This window comes from Homo sapiens, chromosome 1 (genome assembly GCF_000001405.40).
Source record: "Homo sapiens chromosome 1, GRCh38.p14 Primary Assembly".
NCBI classification, from domain to species: Eukaryota; Metazoa; Chordata; class Mammalia; order Primates; family Hominidae; genus Homo; species Homo sapiens.
The window spans coordinates 156,472,770-156,495,897 of record NC_000001.11 but is presented as its reverse complement, the minus strand read 5'-3'; the positions used below and the strand labels follow the sequence as shown (position 1 = coordinate 156,495,897).

General features: G+C 54.1%; 1 protein-coding gene across 22 annotated transcripts in view, besides 5 other annotated features; it reads left to right on the top strand.

Moving 5' to 3' along the window:
• MEF2D (myocyte enhancer factor 2D) overlaps positions 1–23,128 on the top strand; it is a 37,049-nt gene that overhangs the window by 4,878 nt on the left and 9,043 nt on the right. For 6 of the 22 annotated variants that reach the window (XM_047420999.1, XM_047420994.1, XM_047420993.1 and 3 more), the window contains 9 exons: positions 632–745; positions 12,468–12,659; positions 13,258–13,461; positions 14,927–15,064; positions 16,102–16,312; positions 16,552–16,608; positions 18,696–18,886; positions 19,384–19,404; positions 20,661–20,790. In XM_047420999.1, the coding sequence (XP_047276955.1) occupies positions 12,606–12,659; positions 13,258–13,461; positions 14,927–15,064; positions 16,102–16,312; positions 16,552–16,608; positions 18,696–18,886; positions 19,384–19,404; positions 20,661–20,790 (1,006 nt within the window). In that variant the 5' untranslated portion in view covers positions 632–745; positions 12,468–12,605. Of the gene's footprint in view, positions 1–136; positions 746–5,210; positions 5,387–12,467; positions 12,660–13,257; positions 13,462–14,926; positions 15,065–15,120; positions 15,256–16,101; positions 16,313–16,551; positions 16,609–18,695; positions 18,887–19,383; positions 19,405–20,660; positions 20,791–23,128 lie in introns of those variants that run through there. The other 16 variants (NM_005920.4, XM_006711330.4, XM_047421002.1 and 13 more) reach the window with 11 other exon arrangements.
• Positions 2,742–2,911: an enhancer, noted in NCBI's record as "active region_1866". NCBI's record gives its function as "activates an Ori minimal core promoter by ATAC-STARR-seq in GM12878 lymphoblastoid cells {active_cell/tissue: GM12878}" and the evidence as "EXISTENCE:reporter gene assay evidence [ECO:0000049][PMID:35858748]".
• Positions 3,942–4,001: an enhancer, noted in NCBI's record as "active region_1865". NCBI's record gives its function as "activates an Ori minimal core promoter by ATAC-STARR-seq in GM12878 lymphoblastoid cells {active_cell/tissue: GM12878}" and the evidence as "EXISTENCE:reporter gene assay evidence [ECO:0000049][PMID:35858748]".
• Positions 7,972–8,141: an enhancer, noted in NCBI's record as "active region_1864". NCBI's record gives its function as "activates an Ori minimal core promoter by ATAC-STARR-seq in GM12878 lymphoblastoid cells {active_cell/tissue: GM12878}" and the evidence as "EXISTENCE:reporter gene assay evidence [ECO:0000049][PMID:35858748]".
• Positions 13,849–14,168: an enhancer, noted in NCBI's record as "active region_1863". NCBI's record gives its function as "activates an Ori minimal core promoter by ATAC-STARR-seq in GM12878 lymphoblastoid cells {active_cell/tissue: GM12878}" and the evidence as "EXISTENCE:reporter gene assay evidence [ECO:0000049][PMID:35858748]".
• Positions 20,052–20,664: an enhancer, noted in NCBI's record as "H3K4me1 hESC enhancer chr1:156445026-156445638 (GRCh37/hg19 assembly coordinates)". NCBI's record gives its function as "activates a minimal SCP1, AML or CMV promoter by ChIP-STARR-seq in naive H9 embryonic stem cells {active_cell/tissue: H9 hESC(naive)}" and the evidence as "EXISTENCE:reporter gene assay evidence [ECO:0000049][PMID:30033119]".

Here is a 23,128-nt window from a genome sequence, read left to right as displayed (position 1 = left end):
CCCTCCCAGGAGGCTCTGGGCTCTAGGCCTGGTCACTGACCTTGGCTTGGTGCCTCTGGCTGGATGCTGTGGCCACTCTCCTAGGAGCTGAGCAGACGAGGAAACCATGCAGAGGGAGCTTTTTTTTTTTTTTTTGCCCCCTGGTCAAAGGAGCTTTACCCTCAGCATTACCCCTCTTGCCCAACTTTCCAGTATACTTTGAAGACCAAAAACCACAACTTTTTAATTTTTTTTGAGGTAGGATCTTGCTCTGTTGTCCAGGCTCGAGTGCAGTGGTGCCATCATGGCTCACTGCAGCCTCCCATTCAAGCGATCCTCCGGCCTCAGCCTTCCAGGTAGCTGGGACTCCAGGTGTGAGCCATCGTGCCCCGCCCAAAAACCAAAACTTTTGAGATCCCAATGAAGAGAGGTGATGGGTTCTCAAAAGGGAGGAAGGAAACTTCCATTTCTTATGTTCCTGTGTGCCAAGCTTTGTACTGAGCATGGGAATATAAGAAGACTGTTTCTCTCTAAAACTGTTTTTTTGAATTGGGAAACTGAGTCTCAGAGATGTAAGTGACTTTTAAGCTTTCCTAGTTATGAAGTATAAAGGGCTTTTGTCTGAGATTAAAGGAGAGATCCTGCCCTGCAGGACGGGGCAATGGAAAGGAGGCCCACGGAGACCTGAGAGGAGGAGGAGAAATTGAAGGGAAGAGAAAACCAGGATTCCTCAGCAGAGGGCAGAGAATCAGCCTTTGGTGGCAAGGTGAGGAGGGTATTGTTTTGACTTGAGTGTCATGGAGAAAGCCCCCAAAGCAAGGGTGTGAGGGCAGGAACAAATGACACTCCGAGACCCCTCCTGCTGTCCCTGTGAGCTGCCGCATGGGATGAATGAGAAGAGACACTAGAGTGGGAAGGCTTGGACCACAAGAGGCTGGGCTTGTCTCAAGGCAGACACAAGGCCAATGTGAGCCTCCCAGGCCCAGACCTGGGGAATGGGCCCTGGAAGGAATGTGCTAGAACTCCCCGGTGGAGGGAGACTCCCTCCCACTCCCATCCAGGTTGTAAGCAGAAGCCCTGTGCCCAACAGTCAGTCTGCCTCTGCCCCTTATTTCTGGTGACCTTGAGGAAGTCCCTGCCCATCTCTGTGTGAGTTTCCATACCTGTGAAAGGGAGGTGGTGCTACCTGCCTCACATGGGAAGGGAAGGAGTTTCCGCCAGAAAAAGTGTGATGGTTGCATCTTTTCTCTCAGACCTTCAGCCCCAGCCTGGCCCAGGACTGGCCTGCTAAGGCAGCTACCCAGAAGCAGGGGTGGGGGCAAGGAATGCCTTTGGTGTCCAGGGTAGGGATTGAGGAGGCCTTGAGGGTTCCTCCTGGCCTAGGGCTCCGTTTGGCCCTGGGATGGGTTGGGAAGCTGAGCCCAGCCCTCCCCTCCCCATCCAGCCGTCTCCTTGTCTCAGAACCTGCCTCCTCCACACTTAGCCCCACGAGTCTTGCCAGATCCCTCTGGCTGCATGCTTGCTTATCCCTCGTGATTCTCTCATCCTCAGCCCACCAGCAAATACCTAGGGTTGAGGGTTGAGAGAACAAAGAATACGGGGAGAGCCCATCCCTGAGTTTCAAGTAGAAATGCACGGCAGGCGGGTGGAGTGAGGAGAGTGGGGCTTGGTCTCTTTTCCTGGGGTCTTCCCACTCCAGTTGGATCAAGTAACAAGGGAATAGAGCAAGGGGTTTGAGGGATGACCTCAAACCTTGAGATTTTCCCTTTAAAGCATGTGTGTATTGTGCTTTTGGTGAGGGATGATGGTTGGGGTAGACCAGGAGGATGGGATGATCTGAAAGTGGGTTTCTCAGACTTTCCTGTCACCTCTCTCCTTAACCTATGGGCCCTTTCCTCCAGCCACCACCACTGCCTCCTCTATGCTGAGTCTCCTTATGCAGGCCTCTGGGGCCCATGATGGCTGGGTGGGGACAGGTGTCCTAGCCCAGCTGCTCCCTCTTATCTCCCCCACCTGTCAGCCTGGGGGTGGGGAGCTAAGAAGGAGGGGAGTTAGGGGAACTGCTTAGCCCCTCACCTGTTCTGAGGGGTGGGGCCCTGGTTGTAAACTGTAGCAGGGGAGTCAAGAGTAGACAACAGGCAGGACTTCCCCTCAGAGGAAGGATAACTCCAGATCATAGTAATGGCAAGGAAAACTTGGTAGGCAGAGGTCCTTGCTGGCAAAAATCTGAGGGGTCCCTGCACGGCATCCTCATGAAAGGGTGAGAAGCCAGGTATTGGTAAGGAGCACGGATTTGGCGACATGTATCTGCATAGCCTTGTGCAGGTACTGCTCTCCCCACCCCCTTCCTTCTGGGCCCCCCTCCATCTGGCTGGGCATCTTAGCCTCACCTGGCACCTTTCCTGAAAGCAGCAAGCTAATCCTGTAAGAGCTGCCTGGCTGGCCGCCTCAGCAGGCCCACGCAGCCACAATGCCCGCCCTCCCTCCGCTGCCAGGGGCTTAGAGGACTGTCCTTCGAGTTAGAAGGAGACCCAGCTATTGCCCTGAACGGCCCCTTTAAATCCTCAGTGGCTTCTCGAGGTCATGATGTCTCTAGGAGGATTTGCTTTCCCTGATTGGATTGGCCTCTTTCGGGTCCCCTGTCATCATCGTAGGTGAACCCTTCATGTTTTCCACCTCCCCTTTCCTCATAATTGGTGCTGTCCAGTCTGAGGGCCCAGGCCTTGGACTCTTTCCCCTCTCTCTTAGCTCTCATGTCCCAGCAATCAGGGCTCAGACCCCCTTCATCTGCTTCAGCCAGAGCAGCCCTGTCTCAGTGCTGTGGGTGAGAAGAAAGGATCTTGCTGCTTTAAAAAAGGGGACAAACACTGCCCAGGAAGAGAATGCCCTTCTGAGACTGTCTGCTGCCTGCCTCTCTCCATTTTTATCTCTTCAGCCTGCTCTTCCTTTGGCCAGGGGCCCACACTCCTCATTACCCCATGCACTTATTTCCATGGGAAGTCCCTCCCCTGATCTAACCATTAGCCCACCCGCTGCAATGGCAGGCAGCCCAGACCCAGCACTGGTGGCATTATGCTCATTCCAACGGCTCTCAAGCTGACCCGCCCCCAAGGCCCCAGCTGCCACTTTCACTTCTGTCTCCTGAGACCCCAGAGGGAAGTTGTGTTGGGGAGGTGGAAGGTGACACACTAACCGTCCCAACCGCCCCCACCTCTCCTCAGCCAGGGCTTCTGATAGCCAAGGGCCCCTGTCCATTGCTCTTGTTTAGATGACCAAATTGGGTTAGGTAACAGTGGAAGATTGGCTGCGGTGGGAGGGATGGCCGTTAGATAGCAGGAAGGACTTCCTAGGATTGGAGACCACTGCTGGGCTTCATTGTTTCAGAAGATATGGGAGAGGTGTAGATACTCTGGACAAATGTAGGTCAGACTTAAAGGTAGGTAGGAGATTGGTTGTCTGCAGCTCCCATTGGTTGGCATACAATGCTGGGGCCTCCATGCCCTCCCACGTGTCACCAGCCTCGCATGCTTGGTTGGAGGGCTTCTGACAAAGCAAGTTTGAGCCCCAGAGACTACTTTGAGTCCAAGGACTCAGCCCTGAGAAGTTCTTTCTGTAGTCTTATATCTGTCCTACCTGCTGTCCTGGGCCATTTACTCCCACCCTGCACTGTGGATGCGTTTTGGAAATGGAGCTAGAAATGGAAGTAAAGGACAGCTCACCTCCCTCCTGCTGCTGCCGCCCCAACCTTAGCACTAAAGAGGGGAATGGGATTCTTCTCCTGTGACGCCCCAAGGCAGTGACAGAGCCACACTTCACCCTGTGAATCTTACCAAACTCCTGTAGCTGCCATGCTTGCTTATTCCTCGTGATTTCACACCCCTTCCCCATCTCTGCCTAGACAAGAGTAGGGGACCCAGTTGGACTGAGAGCTCTATACTGTATCACTGGGAGTTACTATAAATCCAAGAATGCTTTCTGGAGGGGAAAGATGGGAACAAAGGCCTGAGGTGCCAAGAACTCCACTTGGTGTCCGCAAGTGCCTACGGATCCTGGGTGGGGGTGACCCAGGTCCTGGAATGGGAAGTTGAGCCTGAAGGAATAAGGTCAGAGACGCTATGCAAATCCTCATGCAAATGAGTGGTGGTGAGTCATTGCAGCTCGGCCTGCTGGGATGGAGTATGAAGACAGCCTTAGGCTTGGGTTCTAGAGCTGGTCCCACCAGGGACCAAACAGTGACCTTGGGCTAGTTGCTGCTCAGTAACCACAAGCAGGTGGGTCTGATAGGCATTCCCAGTGTGTGAGGGGATTGGGATGACTGAGCCTCTGCCACAAGGGCCTTGTGTGCCCCACTTGGTACTTGTTCTGGCTGACCAGAGCCTTTGTGAACCCTTGGCCATCTGTTGGGGGGTTACTGTTTAGAAGGCACCTGCCCCTTCACCAGCCCCATCCTGACTGTCTTCTAGCGCCCTCATTGCCTTTCCTCCCCAGCAGGAGGATGACAGACCCAGCCAGGCCATCTCTTCAGTTCCTCTCCGTGACTTACACAATTCTGATCTCCCTTCCCTTTGGGCCTCCCCAGAGAGCACAGGAGCCATGTGTTTGGGCCAGAAGGGCATTTGGGTACCTAGTCCACCCAGCTACCCATAATACTGGCCAGTGGGGTGAAGCCTGTAGAAGGCAGTGACTTACTCAGGATCACATCTTAGACCAGAGCAGGGACTAGAACCCAGGTATCCAGAATCCCAGCTTAGAGACCCCATATTTCCCTAAGCTGTTCATTGCCCTACCTCACCCATCCCTTCTCTACTGGGACTCAATCTCCTGTTGCCCCCAAATACTTCTGAGAACAGTCTGGCTAGCTCTAGGAGCTTGTTTTGTGGGGGTGCGGGGTGGTTACCTAGGAGCCAGCCCAGAGGCCATAAGGGGAAGGTCAGAGCTGCAGTGGGAAGTGCTGGACCCTGGCGGACAGGCTGCTGCCTTGTAGAGAGCCAAATGGCCTCACAGCTGCTACAGGAAGGATGAGAGCTAGACTACAGGAAGAACAAGCTGGGGTGAGGAAGACATGGAGGAGGCTCAGGAGACAGACCCTCACTGGAGAGGCATCTCCTGGGCAGAGAACAGGATGACCCCATCCCAGGAGACTTGCCAGGGAGAAGAGGGCGGGAAGGCTAGGGTGGGGCTCGGGAGAGTTGTCCAGCGGAAGCTAGGGGGAGGGCTCAGCCCTGCTCTCCATACCGTGTGCTCCCCTTGGCAAGTCGGTTCCTGTCCCTTAAGCTGAGACTGCAGGGCCTGCCCCCCATTTGAGTTCTTAGGGTGCCTGGGGCCTGAGACCACCCCTGCCCTAGGCCCAGCTTTCCTGGACTGCCTGCCCCCACAAACCAACAGCCCGCCCCCAGGTCCCCAGTCGGTGAGTTAAAATTAGCTCAGTGCCCAGGCTAAAAATAGCCCCTGCCCAGCCCTGAGGCTGCTGGACTGGGGGAGGGGAGTCCCCGAGGGAGGGAAAGACGGTGGGAACCAGGGATTTGGGTAGTGAGCCTGCCAGACAGAACTTTGAAGGGTTGGGGCTGGGTCTCTGCCTTTGAGATCAGACCCTAGAAGCACTTCTGGGGTGAAGAAAAGAGGCTGCTGTGGGAGGGGGCGGGGACAGAGAGGGGGCAGAGGGAACGGAGCATGAGAAGGAGACCCGAGAGGGGCCCAGGAGTAGGGGCGTGGGGAGCAGGCCTCGCAGGAGGGGTTGTGAGAATTGGGCTGTGTGTGGGATGGGGAGAGGGACAATGTGAGGCTCCTGCCTTGGCTCAGACTTCGGAGGGGTAATGCCCCCCACTTCTTTTGTGAAGGAAGAGCTCACTGTGTGAACCACAGAATGATCCTGGACCATCTTGCCTGGGTGTTTGGGGGCATCACCGGCTTCACCTTCCTGCCCTGTCTCCCAGAGCTCCTTAGCCTGTGTCTCTGTACTAGGGAGGAGGTCCCAGGGCTGAAGTTGGAAGAGAGAATGACTAGGAAGGTTGTGAACCTGAGGGTAGACTGGGTAATAAGGCAGGGCCTGGGGATTCAGCTGGGCAGCTGTCGTCCTTGGTCCTCGGTCCTCACCTCTGCTGCCTCTCAGGGCCGGCCTGCCTGCTCTGGGATGCTCCTTCTGGGGCTGTGTCTGGGTCCAGTCCAGGCCCCCAAGGGCCCCCTTGCCTCTCCCTGCCCTTGCCCTGGGTGGGACCTGCCCCTCCCTTGTCTGTCTCTTGGCTGCACTGCAAGTTCTCAGAGGGCAGGGATGGTGTCCTGTTGAGTTATTCCCCCAGCGCTGGGCCAGGAGTCAGTCCTGGAAGCCGTTGTTGAACCTGTCTCTTGTTCTCTACCTGCTTCTCTCTGAATCTTTGTCTCTGTGGTCTCCTGCCTCTCCCTCTCCTCTAGCCCTCTCCTTATCTGTCTCTGCCTCTGCCCCATAATGCCTTCTGGCCTCGCTGCCTCTTTTTCTCTGTCATCTTTCCTGTGTCTGTGTGTCTGTCCCCCCTCTGCCACCCTCTTCTGTGTCTGCCTCACCCACGCCTCCTCCCTCGTTAGTGAGCAGGCTGCTTGAGGCTGCCTGACTGTGGGGGTGACAGGTGGATTGGATTGTCACCCCCTCCCCCAGCGCCTGCTGCTTATTTCATGCCCTGCAGCCCAGCCACAGGGAAGGGGCGGGAGGAGGGATGACAGCTGTCTCCAGCGCCTCCTGCCTTCCCCTCCAGTCCTCAGCCTGCAGCCCGGAGCAGCCTGGGAGGAAGAGATGAAGGGCCTGCCTAATGAGAGCTCCCTTTCTCACCATGAGGAAGAGCAGGTTGAGGCCCACTGCTCTGTGATGCGAGGCTGCTCACTCAGCTTCTCTGGGCATCTGCTCCCTTTTGACCTGTGCTGGTATGGGAGCTCTGGAAGCAGATGCCCTGTAGTTTCTTTGAGCCTTGGGACCACTAGGATGGGAACAGATATGGGTGGAAGGGTGTAGGGGAGAAGGACAGGTAGGTACTCCCCTGCCAAGAGCAAGAAAGAGAGGATAGAGGCTGGCTATCGGAAAGGAATTCCCCTGCAGCTCCATGGGAAGGACAGCCCTGCTCAGCCCTGCTGCAGCTGCAAGGAGGCTACCCTGACCTCTCCCCTTCACCGCTCTCCCCACTGGCCCCAGGCCACCTTCACACAGGAACTGAGATAGCATCATTCTGAAACCCGAGAATGGTTTGAATATTGCTCAGGTACCCAGAGGTGTTGCATTGGGGGAGGCAGGGACCTGTTTCTTCTCCCATGCCCCCTCCAAACCAGTCCTCCTTTACGGTACATTTTGCACATCATGTGTAGCTCATTTGCATGTAAACACAACCCACAAGTTCTAATTGGGTCGGTACCTGGGATTGGAAAAATGGCTATCAGTGGGGTCCTTCTTGATTCCCCCTGGTCCCCTCAGCTCTCTTTGTCAAGGGTGTTGTCAGAGGGGCCTCCTGCCCTGCATCCTCCCTGCTGTCCATTTGTGAAGGCTTCTCCTCAGCCACCCTTCTCCACAGTTGGTGAGTTTGTGCCTGTTTCCCTCTCTGGGCATCTGCTCCCTTTTGACCTGTGCTGGTATGGGAGCTTTGAAAGCAGATGCCCTGTAGTTTCTTTGAGCCTTGGGACCACTAGGATGGGAACAGATATGGGTGGGCATTGCCAAATGTCCTGCCCATCTTTGCTTCTCCCATGTCCACCAGGAAGGCCCTGCCTCTGCCTGTCCCAACCCCCTGCCACCCACAAGGTTCACTCCGCCCCACCCTTGTCCTGTCCACGGAGTCAGGTGAATCAGAGTCAATCAGCCAGAGCCTTGAGAGCCTTTGAAGGGGAACTTTTGGTGACATAGATACTGTCAGCCCGAGGAGTCATAGTTGTGGCCTGAGGTCAGGATTGGGCAGGCCCTGGGGCCATCAGAACAGGAAGGCCATCCTGGCCAACCCCCTGTCTCTTTGGTAGCCCAAGTCCTCCCAAGCCCTGGGCTCCAGATACTAGGCAGGGTGAAGGAGAGATGGTTAGAAGAGAAGCAGCCAAGGGCCGGATCATCTGCGAGGGCTTCCTAGAGGAGGAGTAGACCAGACAGGAGAAGAATGGGGCCAGGTGAGGCTGGAGAGGAGAGACTCACATCTGGAGAACAGATGCCCAGGCCTCTGGCTCCTGCCAGTTGGTTAGGTAATTAGGCAGAGGGCTAATTAAGGAGGTCCAGGTGTTCATTAAAACCTCCCTAATTGGGTAGGAGGGAAGTTTAGCTAGGATAGGCCTCCAAACCTTGGATAGGGTCAGGTTAGGGTATTTTGTGCCTGCCTAGGCCCCAGCTACCCCTTCTTCCAAAATCAGGGTTGAGTTCATGTTCTTGCCTCAGGGCTTTCAAAGACCCTGCAGCAATGTGGAATGGATAGCAGAAGGAAAAAAGGTCAGTATAGACTGCATCTGCTTTGTAGAGGGGTTTGTGGTTAGATGGGAGGAAGGACTGCCTAAGACAGGGGCATCTCCTCCTCTGGCAGTGTTGGCACAGAAGTGGGAGCAGCAGTGGGGAAAGGGGCCTGGGAAGCATGGAATTATAAAAAGTGCTTTGGGCTACCTTGGTAGGGAGTGGGGATAGATGGGGCCTAGTCTTTTTAACCCTGACTTCTCTCTGTCAGACGATGCTCAGTGAATCTCTGTTGCTTCCCTGCCTTCTCAGCCCTGATCCCTCTCTCGTCCCAGCTCCCCCAGCATGAGGCGGGGGTGGGGGGGGCGGTGTAGGAGATCAGCCAGGGAGCTGGTTGCCAGGCGACAGTTGCCTAAGCAACCCCATCCTCTCCATCTCCATGTGCTCAGGGCTGCTCCTTAGAAGACTTTAGAGTCTCACCCTCTGCACCAACCAACCTGAGGGTGGGGAGGGTTGAGGACTGGGATACCAGGGGTGGTTGGAGGGTAGGTGGTGTCCAAATCTTCAGGGGCAGTTGGGAGAGCAAGGGTTCTAGCTCCATAGAGGATAGAGTGAGAGGAACTGGTACTGCAGCAAGACTGTTGGAGGTTAGACTGCAAGAAGGACTTCTCACAGCACCACAACAATGAAATAGTATTTTCTTCTTTTCAACAGACATTTTCTCAGCTCCCTTCTTATAGGAGATAGAGTAGTGAAAAAGACAGATGTGATTCCTGCCCTCATGAAACTTTAGTCTCATAGAGGAGCCAGGCGTTAAATAGAAGCACAGAATCATAGTTATTCACAATTGTGATAAATGCTAGAAAGACTGCAAGAATGACTTTTCTGAGGGTCATGAGAACAAAGAGAGGCTTCTCTTCCAGTTTGGAGGAAGAGGCAGTATTGGTCATCAGCTGACAGAGGTTACATCTCTGCAAGAATTCGGTTATGAACTAAAGGTGGTGAGAGGGAGATAGTAAAGGGGAGAGAGGGAGGGTAGATGCTGTAAGCCAGAGGAGCTCAGCAGTTCCTGCATTTAACAGTCTAGATTGGGTTTTCAAGACTAGGCCAGAGAATCCCATTTAAAAAGCCAACTATTTGTAGCCCCCTCCCCTTGCCCTCTGTGTGCCCTCCCCTACCTTCCCTGCCAAAGCCCACACCACTGTAGCTCTAGAAAGCACAGTCTTTGGATTGCACTGGGAAGCAGGGGAGCTGAAATCCCTGGGCTGGAGCCTTTGCAATGGGAACTTGGCAGACACTGGGGTCACAGGTGAGGAATGGGGTGTCTGGAGCTGGTTTGGGGCTCAGGTGTCTGCTGGGCCACTCAGGGCTGGCTGGGCTGGTGTTGCTCTTGTCCCAGGGTACCAGTAGGAGGCCCAGGGCCCATGGAGCACGAGGTCGAGGTGGGTGGATCACAAGGTCAGGAGTTCGAGACCAACCTGTCCAACATGGTGAAATCCTGTCTGTACTGAAAATACAAAAGTTAGCCAGGTGTGGTGGCAGACACCTGTAATCCCAGCTACTTGGGAGGCCGAGGCAGGAGAATCGCTTGAACCCGGGAGGCAGAGGTTGCGGTGAGCCAAGATCACGCCACTGCACTCCAGCCTGGGTGACAGAGTGAGACTCTGTCTCACAAAAAAAAAGAAAAAAAAAGTCAAAAAAATTAGCTTGGCATGGTGGTACACACTCATGGTCCCAGCTACTTGGAAGGCCGAGGTAGGAGGATCACTTAAGCCCAGGAGTTTGAACCAGCCTAAGCAACAAAGCAACACCCTGTATCTACCAAAAAAAAAAAAAAGAAATTATTAATAAATTACCTGGGTGTGGTGGCATACACCTGTATTCTCATCTACTTGGGAGGCTGAGGCTGGAAGGTTGAAGCTGCAGTGAGCTGTGATTTGTACACTCCAGCCTGGACAACAGAGCAAGACCCTATCTTAAAAAACAACAACCACCACCAAAAAAAAAAAAAAAAAAGAAGAAGGAGAAGGGTAGGGAGTCGTTTGAAGCGCAATGCATTTATCTGCATTGTTTTCTGTAGATATCCAGGCAAAGCAGAAGCTCTCCAGCTAGGCTGGGGAGCAGTCTTGGTAATGGGATGGGGCCAGTATCCCAGCTCCTCCCAAATTGATAGATTCCTTGCCTTCCCTCTCCTCCTTCCCTCATGAGCAAGAGACCAAGGCTGAACTTTAGCATCTACTGTGGTACCGTAGGGGCCATGTAGAGTTGGGCTGGAAAGGCTCCAGGGAAACTCAGCAGCCATTGGCAGTGGGAGCTGGGGGGTAGGGGTAAGAGTTGTTCTCTGTCATCAAACACCTCTCCCCAGGTAGTGTGCAGTGGGTGCAGAGGATCAGACAGTGGCTGGGGGTCTACATCCCTAGACTCTACAGTAGGGTCTCTGGGCATGGGGCTCTATGGAAGGGGAGCTCTGGAGGGGAGGGCGGGCCTTCTCTGGTCCAGGCTCCTCCCAGGACCCAAATAGAGTGGCTTTAGAAAGCATGGGCCCCAGTTCACTATCCTCTTCCAACATCTTCCAGAAAGCTCCACTTTTGATGCAAGGACTCCTGGAATCAGAGCTAGAGGGGGCCCTGAAGTCATTCCGTGCCTCCGTCCCATCTTGGGCCCTTCCAGTCCCCAAGGACTCACCCAGCCTATGTAGGCACTGCCCATACCGGAGAGAATGCGCCTTTTCTGGCCCAGGCTGTGCTGCCATCCTTGAGCCCCCTCTTATCCTATGGTGCCTCCTGGAGTTGTTCAGTGCAGGGGCTGTTTCTCATCCTGGCTTTAGCATGGAGCTGTTCAACTAGTGGGCTGTGAGGGGGTTACAGGTGTCCTGAGACAGCAGGTTCTCTGCCTGGTGCCTGCATCCGCCTGGCTGCCAGTGGCCTCCCCAGTGTATGTCATTTGTTCCTGTATTTTCTCTGTCTGCTTCAAGATGTACAAGGTTGGGAAGCACTACTCTTAGACTGAGCTTGGGTTCTAGATGTGGTCCATACCTCTAGGGCAGGAATCAGCAAACTATGGCCCGTGGACCAAATCTGGCCCATGCCCATTTTTGTAAATATAGTTGTATTGGATCACAGCCATGCTTACACTCATTCGTTTATGTGTTGCTGTCTGTTGCTTTCATGGTACAGTGACAGAGTTGAGTAGTTACAACAGAGACTGTATGGTCTGCAAAGCCTGAAATATTACTATCTGGCCCAAAAATTTCCATCTCCTGGTCTAGAGGAATGGTTTCATTGTTTTAAGCAGCACAACTCTTTCCTCAAACAAAAATCTTAGGCTGGGCATGTCCAAAGGTAGTGAGTTAGCTCAATTGATTGTTCACAGTCAGTTACAGATCGAACTCCTTGTTCTACTCTTTCTTCTCTTCTCACTACTGCACTTGACTAGGCTTATAAAAATAAAAAGAAACCTTAGGCTTAAGCTCACTGAGTAAAACAGATTAGTGTGGAGGAACTCTAGTTGAAGGGAGATGTGGGTGCTACAACCCCAAGCCCCACTACAGGACTCCAGGCCCCAGAGTTCCATGAGTCGGTATGAGGCCCACTGCTCTAGACCTGCTCTGGTATGTTCTTGAGCCAGGGGCACCAGAGACATCCCATCCTGGCACCAGGTATACCATGCTTGTTGTTCACTGACTGGGCAGATGTCCTCTCAGCGTTGTCTCTTCTCCAAGCTTCAGAATGGGAACCATAGTTCTAGGCCAGAGGAGCAGCTGGAGCACCCAGGTGTCTATAGTACAAGCAGGTTCTAGAGAGAAGAATGGGCCATGGGATATTCTCTGAGACCCAGACCTTGGAAGCCAGGAGGTCCATTTACTCTGTCCTGGAGCCTGAGGACAGCAGTGACCGAGGGGAAAGAGTCTGGGCCTTGGTGTGAGCTCCAGCTTGTGCCTGGCTGTGGCATACCATTGCCTCAGGCAGACAGCATTGCCTCATGTTGAGGGTGGAGCTCAGATGCTGCCAGCCTCTCACAGGGGCGCTGTGAGTCTGGCCTGTGTGCCCAGGGAGCAGGGCTGGGGGTTTTGGGGGCTCAGAGACCTCTCATGACCCTCCCTTTCCAGGAGGCTGTGCAGAAGGTATCCTGCAGACCATGAACTGAGCACTGTTCCCAGACCGTTCATGAGCACAGTGTAAGGTGTGCCGAGACCCACCACCCAGCGAGCCCCTCCCCTCCGTAGCACTGAGGACCCCCGGAGAAGATGGGGAGGAAAAAGATTCAGATCCAGCGAATCACCGACGAGCGGAACCGACAGGTAGGGAAGTCCTAGAGCCGTACGAAGTGGGTGAGGGCAGGGAGCAGGCCTCTGCCTCTACTCCCTTCAGGCATTCCAAGAGGGCTTTGTGGAAGAGGGGAAACTATAAGCTATTACAGAAGGGGAAGGGAGATTGGGAGAAGAGGAACCCCAACCTCTTCGCAGCTCTTGGAGCTCTGCGTCCCTGGACTCCAGGACTCTTCTGCTGCCACAGCTAGATGAGCCCATGTTCCCATCCCAGAGCCATTTGCAAGCCTTAGGTCATACCCCCAGGCACTCCTCCTTTCCCAACAGGAATCCTCTCCCTCTTCTTCTCCACTGACCTCTTCATAGCCTCCAGCACAGAGGTGTGGAGTTCTGTCCACCTGAATCCTGCCCCTTCAGTGAGTGGGCTCTGGGCTGTATCTAAGCTGTGTGTTGGCCTACAGGCACTAGCCTGGTCCTTCCCCAAACCAGGGACTCCTGAGACCAGGGGCTGTGTCACACTGAGAATGGGGGCTCCTGAGGGCAGGGGCTATGTCCAGCCATCTGTAGGCTGGGACTCCCAATCAGGCCTTAACTGAGCCAGATCTGGCCGCCCACCCATCCTTCTCTGCAGGTGACTTTCACCAAGCGGAAGTTTGGCCTGATGAAGAAGGCGTATGAGCTGAGCGTGCTATGTGACTGCGAGATCGCACTCATCATCTTCAACCACTCCAACAAGCTGTTCCAGTACGCCAGCACCGACATGGACAAGGTGCTGCTCAAGTACACGGAGTACAATGAGCCACACGAGAGCCGCACCAACGCCGACATCATCGAGGTGGGCCCATACACACAGGCACCAGGATATACCCCCGCCTGCATCCACATGGACACGTGCCCACGTTGCATGTACACGCAGACCTGCCTATGCACACACACTGGTATACATGCCCCTTGTAGCCCCTCACCTGTGCGCACACACATGCAAACCCTCCTTCTGTCATACAAACCCAGGGTCTGAGGAGGAAGGAAGGGCAGTTCAAGTGAACAGGCCAGTGCCAGGCTGCCAGCCCACACCCACCCTGCCCTCTCCAAGAGTCTGCTGTCGTCCAGTGTGATGTAACATCTCTATCCTGCCTTCTTGCATCCTGTCTTTCTCTTTGTCTCTCTTTCCCCGCTTCTCCATCTTCTGGTGTGCTCCTGCACCTGCCTCTTCCTTTTTTAAATCTCCCTCTTTGTTTCCATCTCTCCTGCTGTCTCTGTCTGTTTGTGGGCCCGGTAGTTCTATTTTCTGTTTCAAAGAGAGCCAACATTGTGAACTGTTGAAGGACATGAGCTTTGGAATTCAGTTCTGACCTTTACCGGCCACATGGCCTTGGGCAGGTGCTTAGGCTTTCCCGAGCCTTGGTGCCCACCTCCACAAAATGGGGTCAGTGCCTGCTTTGAAGGGTGCTGTGTGAATTGAATGTCCCTGCTTCTCACACTGAGGTGCGTGCACCTTGGGGATACAGAACTTGTGCTGACGAAGAGGGTGCCCGGGAAGCCACAGGCCTACTCAGAGATTTGGAGGAAAGTCCCTTATTTTTATGTTAGAGAAGACAGATTTACTCTAGACTAGAAGGTAAAATTTGCATTCATTTTAAAGACAAAGCAAGTATCTGTAAAGCTATTTTGAGCATGAAGAGGGCAGCTTTGGGGTCTACTGCAGATCCCCCAGATGTGCCTCCACTAGAATGTAGGGTGGTCACAGTAGGGACTCAGTCAGTGTTCATCCCCCTTTCCTTTTCCACATCCCATTCCCCGCTCTCTCTGTCTCCATCTCTATTTCTCTCTTCCTCCTATTCTCCTAAGCAGAGCCCAGGGACTGGGAGCAGAGCCCCCCTGCCTACCTCCCCCTGGAGAACTCAGTGCCTTCTGGTCAGGGCTTACCACAGGGTGGTCGGGCAGGGACTGATCCATGGCACCAGCTCCTTAGCCCATCCCCTGGAGGCCCCATCCCCTGGAAGCCCCTTCCCTGCCTGTCACTTTGGAAGTACATGTCTCCCTGCCAAGTGCACCCCCAGGTTAGGCTCACCTTCCAGCCTTGTTCTCTGTGTTCCGACAGCTCCCACCAAGCCCATCTTCAGATCTTCACACGATGCCCCAGGAGGCACTGTCAGTGGGGAGGGGCCAGGGAGATGCTGGGAACCCTGAAGAAGGAGGTCGGGGAAGAGTAGGGGGCCCTTAGGGAGGGGCTGGAAGGAACTCCAGCGAGGCGGGCGGGAAGGACTCTCACCCAGCTGATGGCAGTGGTGCGGTTACAGACCCTGAGGAAGAAGGGCTTCAACGGCTGCGACAGCCCCGAGCCCGACGGGGAGGACTCGCTGGAACAGAGCCCCCTGCTGGAGGACAAGTACCGACGCGCCAGCGAGGAGCTCGACGGGCTCTTCCGGCGCTATGGGGTGAGCCCCACTCACTCTGTCTCTGTTGGCCCCCCCTTCCGGCCCCTTCCCCCCAGGCGCTGCACAAGAAGCACAGGGAATGTGAGAGCCCTGAGGTGGACGAGGTGTTTGCCCTGACCCCCCAGACGGAAGAGAAATATAAAAAGATAGACGAGGAGTTTGATAAAATGATGCAGAGTTATAGACTGGCCGTGAGTAGTCGCATGGAGCAGAGCCTCCCTGTGGTGCATGGTGTGGCTTCGCGCCCTGGCTCTCGGCTGCCCTGATGGGTGCTCCGCTCTGAGCCATGCTCGGGTTCTTAGTGACCACTGAGGAACCTCTGACCTTGGTCATGATAAACCCGCATCCCTGCTGAGACTCTACTGGGATGGAGCATAAGTTGGAGAGGCCTGGAGTGTCCCCCTCTCCAGCAAGAAGTGTGTAGATGACATGAGATCCTTAGAGGACAGCAAAGTGGAGTGTGCTCTTTGTCCAGATGTTTTTTTGGGGGGAGAGGCCTGCTTGGGCTTGCTCTGATAGCCCAACCAGAGACACTCAGCCTTGTGTAGGGAAAGCAGAACTGCTGAAGGGGAAGGCAGCGAGGTGGGGGTGAGCTCTCTCTGCAGCAGGCCAGATGGGTGGAGACTGCAAGTGAAATGATGTCCCTACCCGTGGTGCAAGCCTTTAACAGCCGTGTGTGAATTTGAGTCTGTTATCAGGGCCTCTAACCTGCTCCCCGTGTGTCCTGCCTGGCTGAGGACTAACCCACCTCCACTAGGGGGTGTCCCTGGTCCTGTCTGCAGTGAGCAGAGCCTTGTTCTCATTCTGTGGGCCAGAAATGGACCCAGAGTATGGACCCAGAGTTTCTCCCCAAAGTTCTTCCTTGGTGGGACTGGCAGGCAGGACTCCACAAGGGCACAGGGCAGGGAGCTTGAACTGCTGGCCCTAGGATGCGTAGCCCAGAAATGAGAAGAACCCTTGCCTGCCCTCCCAGGAAAAGTGGACTCCATGGAAGGGGTCAACCTGGCCTGATCCTGCCCCTCCATCTTTCTGTCTAGTCAACTGTCCCGGCCCCCAACTTTGCCATGCCTGTCACGGTGCCCGTGTCCAATCAGAGCTCACTGCAGTTCAGCAATCCCAGCGGCTCCCTGGTCACCCCTTCCCTGGTGACATCATCCCTCACGGACCCGCGGCTCCTGTCCCCCCAGCAGCCAGCACTACAGAGGAACAGTGTGTCTCCTGGCCTGCCCCAGCGGCCAGCTAGTGCGGGTGAGTGGGCTGGCAGGTGGGTAGGTGAGGTGGAAATGAGATGTGATGGGGACTTTGGGATTCCATTTTCAACAGCAAGTATTTCTCTTCACCCACCACAGCATTCCGCCATTTGTATGGCTCCTGAGGGAAGGGAGTATGACTCTTCCTCCTGGGGTCCCCTCTTCATGTTCAGTCCCCAAGACTCACTCTTGAAGCGGGAGTGTTGTCAGCTCATCCTGGTTCTGTTTTTCCTCCAGGGGCCATGCTGGGGGGTGACCTGAACAGTGCTAACGGAGCCTGCCCCAGCCCTGTTGGTGAGTGCAGTCATCCTTCTACCTGGAGGTGGGGAGGGGTGCCCGCTCAGTGGCCTCAGGGGGTCCAAGGATCAGGAACGACCTAGATGAGAGGAGAGGAAGATCCCAGGGCCAGGACTGGATGAAGAGTCAGTCAGAGATTTTTAAGCCCCTGGATTTTGTTTTCTGTAGCAATGATTGGTGTAGATGATCAGCAGAGATGGAGGCTCAGGGAATTCTGGGCAAACTGTGAGAATGGGCCAGCATTTCTAGTTGGAAGGGAAGACCCAAGTTTTTGCAGTTGAGTGTGGTTGGGATCTGGAGGATGAGAATGCCGGGCGTTCCCTAGACAAACAACAGGGACAGACTCACATAGACACTCACGCAGGCACTCAACACACATAAGTGCATTCTCCCTCTTACAGAAGTATCCAGATGTTAGATGTGCATTTGTGAGCACACATACATAAGCCACAGAAGAGGCCGGGCATGGTGGCTCACGCCTGTAAACCCAGCACTTTGGGAGGCTGAGATGGGCGGATCACCTGAGGTCGGGAGTTTGAGACCAGCCTGACAAACATGGAGAAACCCCATCTCTACTAAAAATACAAAATTAGCCGGGTGTGGTGGCTCATGCCTGTAGTCCCAGCTACTCAGGAGGCTGAGGCAGGAGAATCGCTTAAACTCAGGAGGCAGAGGTTGTGGTGAACTGAGATCATGCCATTGCACTCCAGCCCGGGCAACAGGAGCGAAACTCCGTCTCAAAAAATAAAAAAATAAGCCACAGAAGAAAGGCTGCCCCCCAACCCCTGGCAGCGGACAGCCCCTCCTACCCTGTGCCATTGTCTGGCTGGGTGACTGTGACTTCGAATGTCACGATTGACGTCACCCTGACATTCCTGCCATTCCCAGAGTGGTCCGGGAATTGGGATGGAGGCAGGCACACACTTCCAGGGCAACAGCATGCTCTTAGGGGACAGAGCAAGGAAGCATTTCTGACTGTGGTCACTCTCACATCCTTGGACCTCAGCATCCCCCAGCTCAGTTTTGGGGCACTGTATAATACCTCCCTGGTGATAATTATGTCACAGGGTCAGGAAATTAAAGGGGTGGGTGAATATGTCACCCTCTTCAAGGAGAAGGCCAGAGAAATGCTTGTAGACCTCAAGTGAGCAGTGATCCATAGAGGCCCTTGAGTCCAGCATGTGGAAAGTGGGAGAGAGCCCTCACTTGGCCTCCAGCCAGCTGTGTGGCCCTGGGCAGGTCATTACACTTCTCCCAAGCAGGCTCTAGTTTCCTCTTCTGTGAACAGGGCTAATGTCCTGTCTGTCTTGCAGAGTTAATGTGAGGATTAAATAAGATAATACATGTGTGAAAGGCCTGTGTGGATTGTAGAATATGGAGCAGATATAAAAGATAGTTATTACATTTGTTATTACCAGGCTAATTATGGTGGTGGCTGTGTTATGTGTCTCCCAGTGCCAATAACACCATCACCAACAGTGAATGGCTTGTTTCTCCCAAGCTGTGGGCAACTTGTCACATGTTGATCCAAATCACATCATCCACCCCCAGCTCACGGCAAATGGAGCAGTCTGAGTGGTTGTTGGTTTGTCATGGTGACCAGGCTTCTCAGTGAGGCCCGGATTCCAGGCTGCCACCCCTTCCACATCCTGGTCATGGTGGGTCCTGTCCGGGGTAGACTGTGGGACCTAAAAATGCTGGACTTCCTGTCTGTGGAGACTAAAGTAGAGAGAAGACAGGGAGAGGCTTGGGTACAGAAGAACCTCTTGGCCGTCGCAGAGCCTAGAGGCAATGGCTGCTTTCCAGTTCTTCCCACTGACTTCAGAGTCCCATCACCAAGCCCTATCACATGTAGCTTGGAGTTAGGGGAACGAACCTAAAGATTCAGGAGTAAGGGGTACTTGCCTCCCATTATTCTCAAGACATGAAGTGTTCAGGGAATATCAGATAGCTCAGCCCCCACTCAAAGCCTAAGCATGGCTTTGAGAGGTTCCGGGTAACAGGAGTATTGGTGTGGGGAAGTTAATAGGGCTGAAGGATAGGCCCATGTTTTTCCTTTTACCCTCTTGTTGTCACTTCTCCAGGGAATGGCTACGTCAGTGCTCGGGCTTCCCCTGGCCTCCTCCCTGTGGCCAATGGCAACAGCCTAAACAAGGTCATCCCTGCCAAGTCTCCACCCCCACCTACCCACAGCACCCAGCTTGGAGCCCCCAGCCGCAAGCCCGACCTGCGAGTCATCACTTCCCAGGCAGGAAAGGGGTTAATGCATCACTTGGTAAGTGGGTGTCTGGGCCAAGGGTGGGGGCTGGGGAATGGAAGAGTAGGGACAGGGGAAAGAGCAGACCTCTAGCAGGAGAGATGAAGGCTAGCCAGCAGTTAGGACTTCCCAAGATAAATCTTGGAACCATGGCTTTTTATGAGATTTTTCTTCCCAGAGGGCCTTTTAAGAGGTTGCAGCACAAGAAGTACCAGCCTAAGGCAGTAAAAAGGGGCAGGAGGTGAGAGAGAAGTGGTGGGGAGGATCATAGAAAGGATTTGCCACTATAGCAGGAGGGATGGGGATTAGATGGTGAGCATTTCCTCACTGGTGGAGATTGGGATGGAGCATCTCTGGAAATGAGTCAGGACGGTGGAGAGCTCTGCCTTTGTAGGCTGGGTAGAGCCACCCTACTCTTATGCAGAGAGGTGACTGGAACAGCTGTGGGGACAGAGGTGTGGGGGAGGGCAGCGGCCAGAGACTGAACATCCCCTTGGTTTTATTTCTGCTCTCAGACTGAGGACCATTTAGATCTGGTAAGTGAGGCTGTGAGCTCTTTGCTGTGGCTTTGAATTCTGGGTATTGCTCTGCGGTCCCCCAGCATGAAGTACGTGTGCGTCCTTGGCCTCTCGCCTGTGCGTGAACTGTTGCTGTTTCTTTGCTTAGTTGCCAGGAGCTGTGCTTAGGTGCCAAGTGGGATTCAAAGGTGAATGGGGTGGGGGTGAGAGGTCAGACGTGTGTGTGTGTGCCTGTGTGTACATGAATGTCTGCATGTGGTATTATGTTCATTCAGACACACCTTTCTCTGTATGTACGTGTGCGAGGGGGAGTGGGCCAGCCCAGGGCTCAGAGGTCCCACCCTGATGCCTGGACTAGGCCCTGGACTAGGGGGCTGGATCCCACTAGTCCTCTGACTCCACTCAGGCCCACACTGCATTCTTGGGATCCAGGACAGGATCCTTCTTAGGAGGGAGGTCAGCTGGAAGGAGAAGCTGGTGTTTCAGGGGAAGCCAAGGCCCAGGCCCAGGCTGGACTTGTCCTTCTTGGTGGCAGCTTCCCACCTCCCCTGTCTCCCTGTGCTCCCTCCTGAACTTAAGTCCATGACACGGGCACTCAGAGGCATGCACAGCTGCTCATTTTCCTCCTCTGTCTCACACACTTACATACTCACCCCCAGCCAGGAGTGGGGCGGGGGCTCCTCCCTCCCTAACTCCCTGACGGGAGGCCAGAGAGGCTGGAAAAGGCAGGCAGGCTTTGGCGGCCAACACGGCGGCAGTTTCGGCCCCAGCATGGAGTTGGAATAAACAAGTGACTCAGCGGCAGATGGAGCTGACAGCCCCACACACGTGTGTGCATACGCGCAGGCACACGCCACGCCAGGCCCCACATTCCCCTCGCAGATGCCAGCACGCCTCTGCCGGGGCGTGTGCTGCAGTGTGATGGATGGAGAGTGGGCTCCAGAGAGACAGGGGATGGACGATGTCTCCCTTCCCTCACTCTGCACTGGGAGGCTGGGCGAGTGTTGGTGCTGGGGCCACAGGGCCAGTACACGTGCCTTCATCTTTGCACGTGTGTTGGTGTCAGTGAATCTGTGTGTGCATGTTTCCCTCCATGGATCTGAGTGTCTCTGTGAATGCACCAACGTGTGTTTGTATATCTGTGGGGGCCTCCGTGCTAAGGCACCCCGCCTTGGCTTTGGGATTCAGGAACCCCACCTTGGCCTTGGGATGGAGGGCCAACATAAAGCTGCCCACCTGTCAGCCACCTCCTGACGGACAGTTTTCTCCTACAGAACAATGCCCAGCGCCTTGGGGTCTCCCAGTCTACTCATTCGCTCACCACCCCAGTGGTTTCTGTGGCAACGCCGAGTTTACTCAGCCAGGGCCTCCCCTTCTCTTCCATGCCCACTGCCTACAACACAGGTGAGTGTTCATGTGACATGTGCATGTGTGCACTTGGGCTTGGGGCAGGCAAGTGACCAGACAGAAATGCTAGTTATCCCCTGGACAGGCCACATCTGAGGAGGGCTACTGATTTGGGGGAACCCCCACCTACTTATGGTTAACAGGTTTAGCAAATAAAAGCACAGAATGCTTTTAAATTTGAATTTCAGATAAAACAAGTAGTTTTTTAGTACAGATATGTCCCAAAGACATTCTTCTGCTAATGTATGTCCCAAAGACATATTTTATTTTTGGGTTTGTTTTTTTTTTCTTTTTTGGAACAGGGTTTCACTCTGTCACCCAGACTGGAGTACAGTGGTGCCATCCTAGCTCACTACAGCCTTGAACTCCTGGGCTCAAGTGATCCTCCTGCCTCAGCCTCCTGAGTAGCTGGGACTACAGGCACATGCCTTCATGCCTGGCTCTTTTTACATTTTTTTTGTACAGACAAGGTCTCTCTGTTGCCCAGGCTAGTCTCAAATTCCTGGTCTCAAGCAGTCCTCCTGCCTCAGTCTCCCAAAGTGCTGTGTTACCGACTGTGCCCAGCACCAAAGACATACTCATGCTAACAAATTATGTATTGTTTCATCTGAAATTCAAATTTAACTAGGCATTGGTTTTTGTTGTTTTTGTTTTTTTGAGGTAGTCTCACTCTTGTCACCTAGGTTGGAGTGCAGTGTTATGACCTTGGCTCACTGCAACCTCTTCTTCCTGGGTTCAGGTGATTCTCATGCCTCAGCCTCCTGAGTAGCTGGGATTACAGGCATGCGCCACCATGCCCAGCTAATTTTTGTATCTTTAGTAGAGATAGGTTTTTGCCATGTTGCCTGGGCTGGTCTCAAACTCCTGAGTTCAAGTGATCCACCAAAGTGCTGGGATTACAGGCATGAGCCACTGTGCCTGGCCAGCATTGTTTATTTTTTAAAAAGTACTTAATGGAGGAGGGAGCCCCTGTCCTCAGAAAGCCTGCAGCCTGAGGACGAGACAGGACAGAGGCAGGTCTGCAGATCATTCAGGCTGACCAATCTCTAGGCTGCAGGTATGGGGAGTGGTGAGGGGGACGTGGTCAGTTCAGAAAAGCTTCCTGGAAGAGAATGAAGGAATAAGAGAAAAGAGACAAGGAGGCTGAGGAGGCCAGAGAGAAAGCACAGTCAGGGTCAGTTTGCTAGCTTCCTGGGAAAGCCAAATGGGGGCTCCAGGGCAAGGCGGAGGGGGAAGAACAGCGTCTCTCCTCTAGTTTTGGCATGGTGGTGGAATGATGATTGGGGAAGGAAGAAGAGGGAAGAAGGTTAGAGAGGGGATCTGAAGGTAAAGAGCCACTTAAGGACATGAGAAAGGTCTCTGGATAGAAGAATTCAGATAGGACACCCAGTGCGCGGGCTGTCCTGGGTCCCTAGGGCCATCCTGGCCTGTGTCACCCACCCACTCACACCTGCGCAGGAACAGTCTGTGATACTCTCAGCCATCCTTGCCTGTATGCTAAGCCACTGTGTCAAGAAGGACTTGCCAGTAAGGAAACGCCTTGTCCCCTTGTTTCAGAGCATTCATGTGGCTGGGGAACCTGGGCTATTTCCAGCTAGAGACCTCTGCCTTCCTCAGGTTCTCTCACATGTGAATGGTTATGTCAGGCCAGTTCCTTTGATGAGTTTAGTCTGGACCAAAAGACTCATAAACTTCTCCCCCTTCCCCAAGCCTCCCAGAGTTGAACCAGCCACCAGTGCAAATAACCACAAAATCCCACCTCCTCCCCACATGTAAAAATCCAGAACCCAGGCCAGGCGTGGTGGCTCACATCTGTAATCCCAGCACTTTGGGAGGCTGAGGCAGGAGGATCACGAGGTCAAGAGATCGAGACCATCCTAGCCACATGGTGAAACCCCATCTCTACTAAAAATACAAAAATCAACTGGGTGTAGTGGCACGTACCTGTAGTCCCAGCTGCTCTGGAGGCAGAGGCAGGAGAATCACTTGAATCCGGGAGGCAGAGGTTGCCATGAGCCGAGATTGCACCACTGCACTTCAGCCTGGTGACAGAGCGAGACTCCCTCTCAAAAAAAAAAAAGTTCAAACATAAAAAGGCTGGGCGCAATGGCTCACGCCTGTAATCTCAGCACTTTGGGAGGCCGAGGCAGGCGGATCACGAGGTCAGGAGATCGAGACCATCCTGGCTAACACAGTGAAACCCTGTCTCTACTAAAAATACAGAAAATTAAGCGGGATGTAGTGGCATGTGCCTGTAATCCCAGCTACTCGGGAGGCTGAGGCAGGAGAATCACTTGAACTTGGGAGGCAGAGGTTGCAGTGAGCCAAGATCACG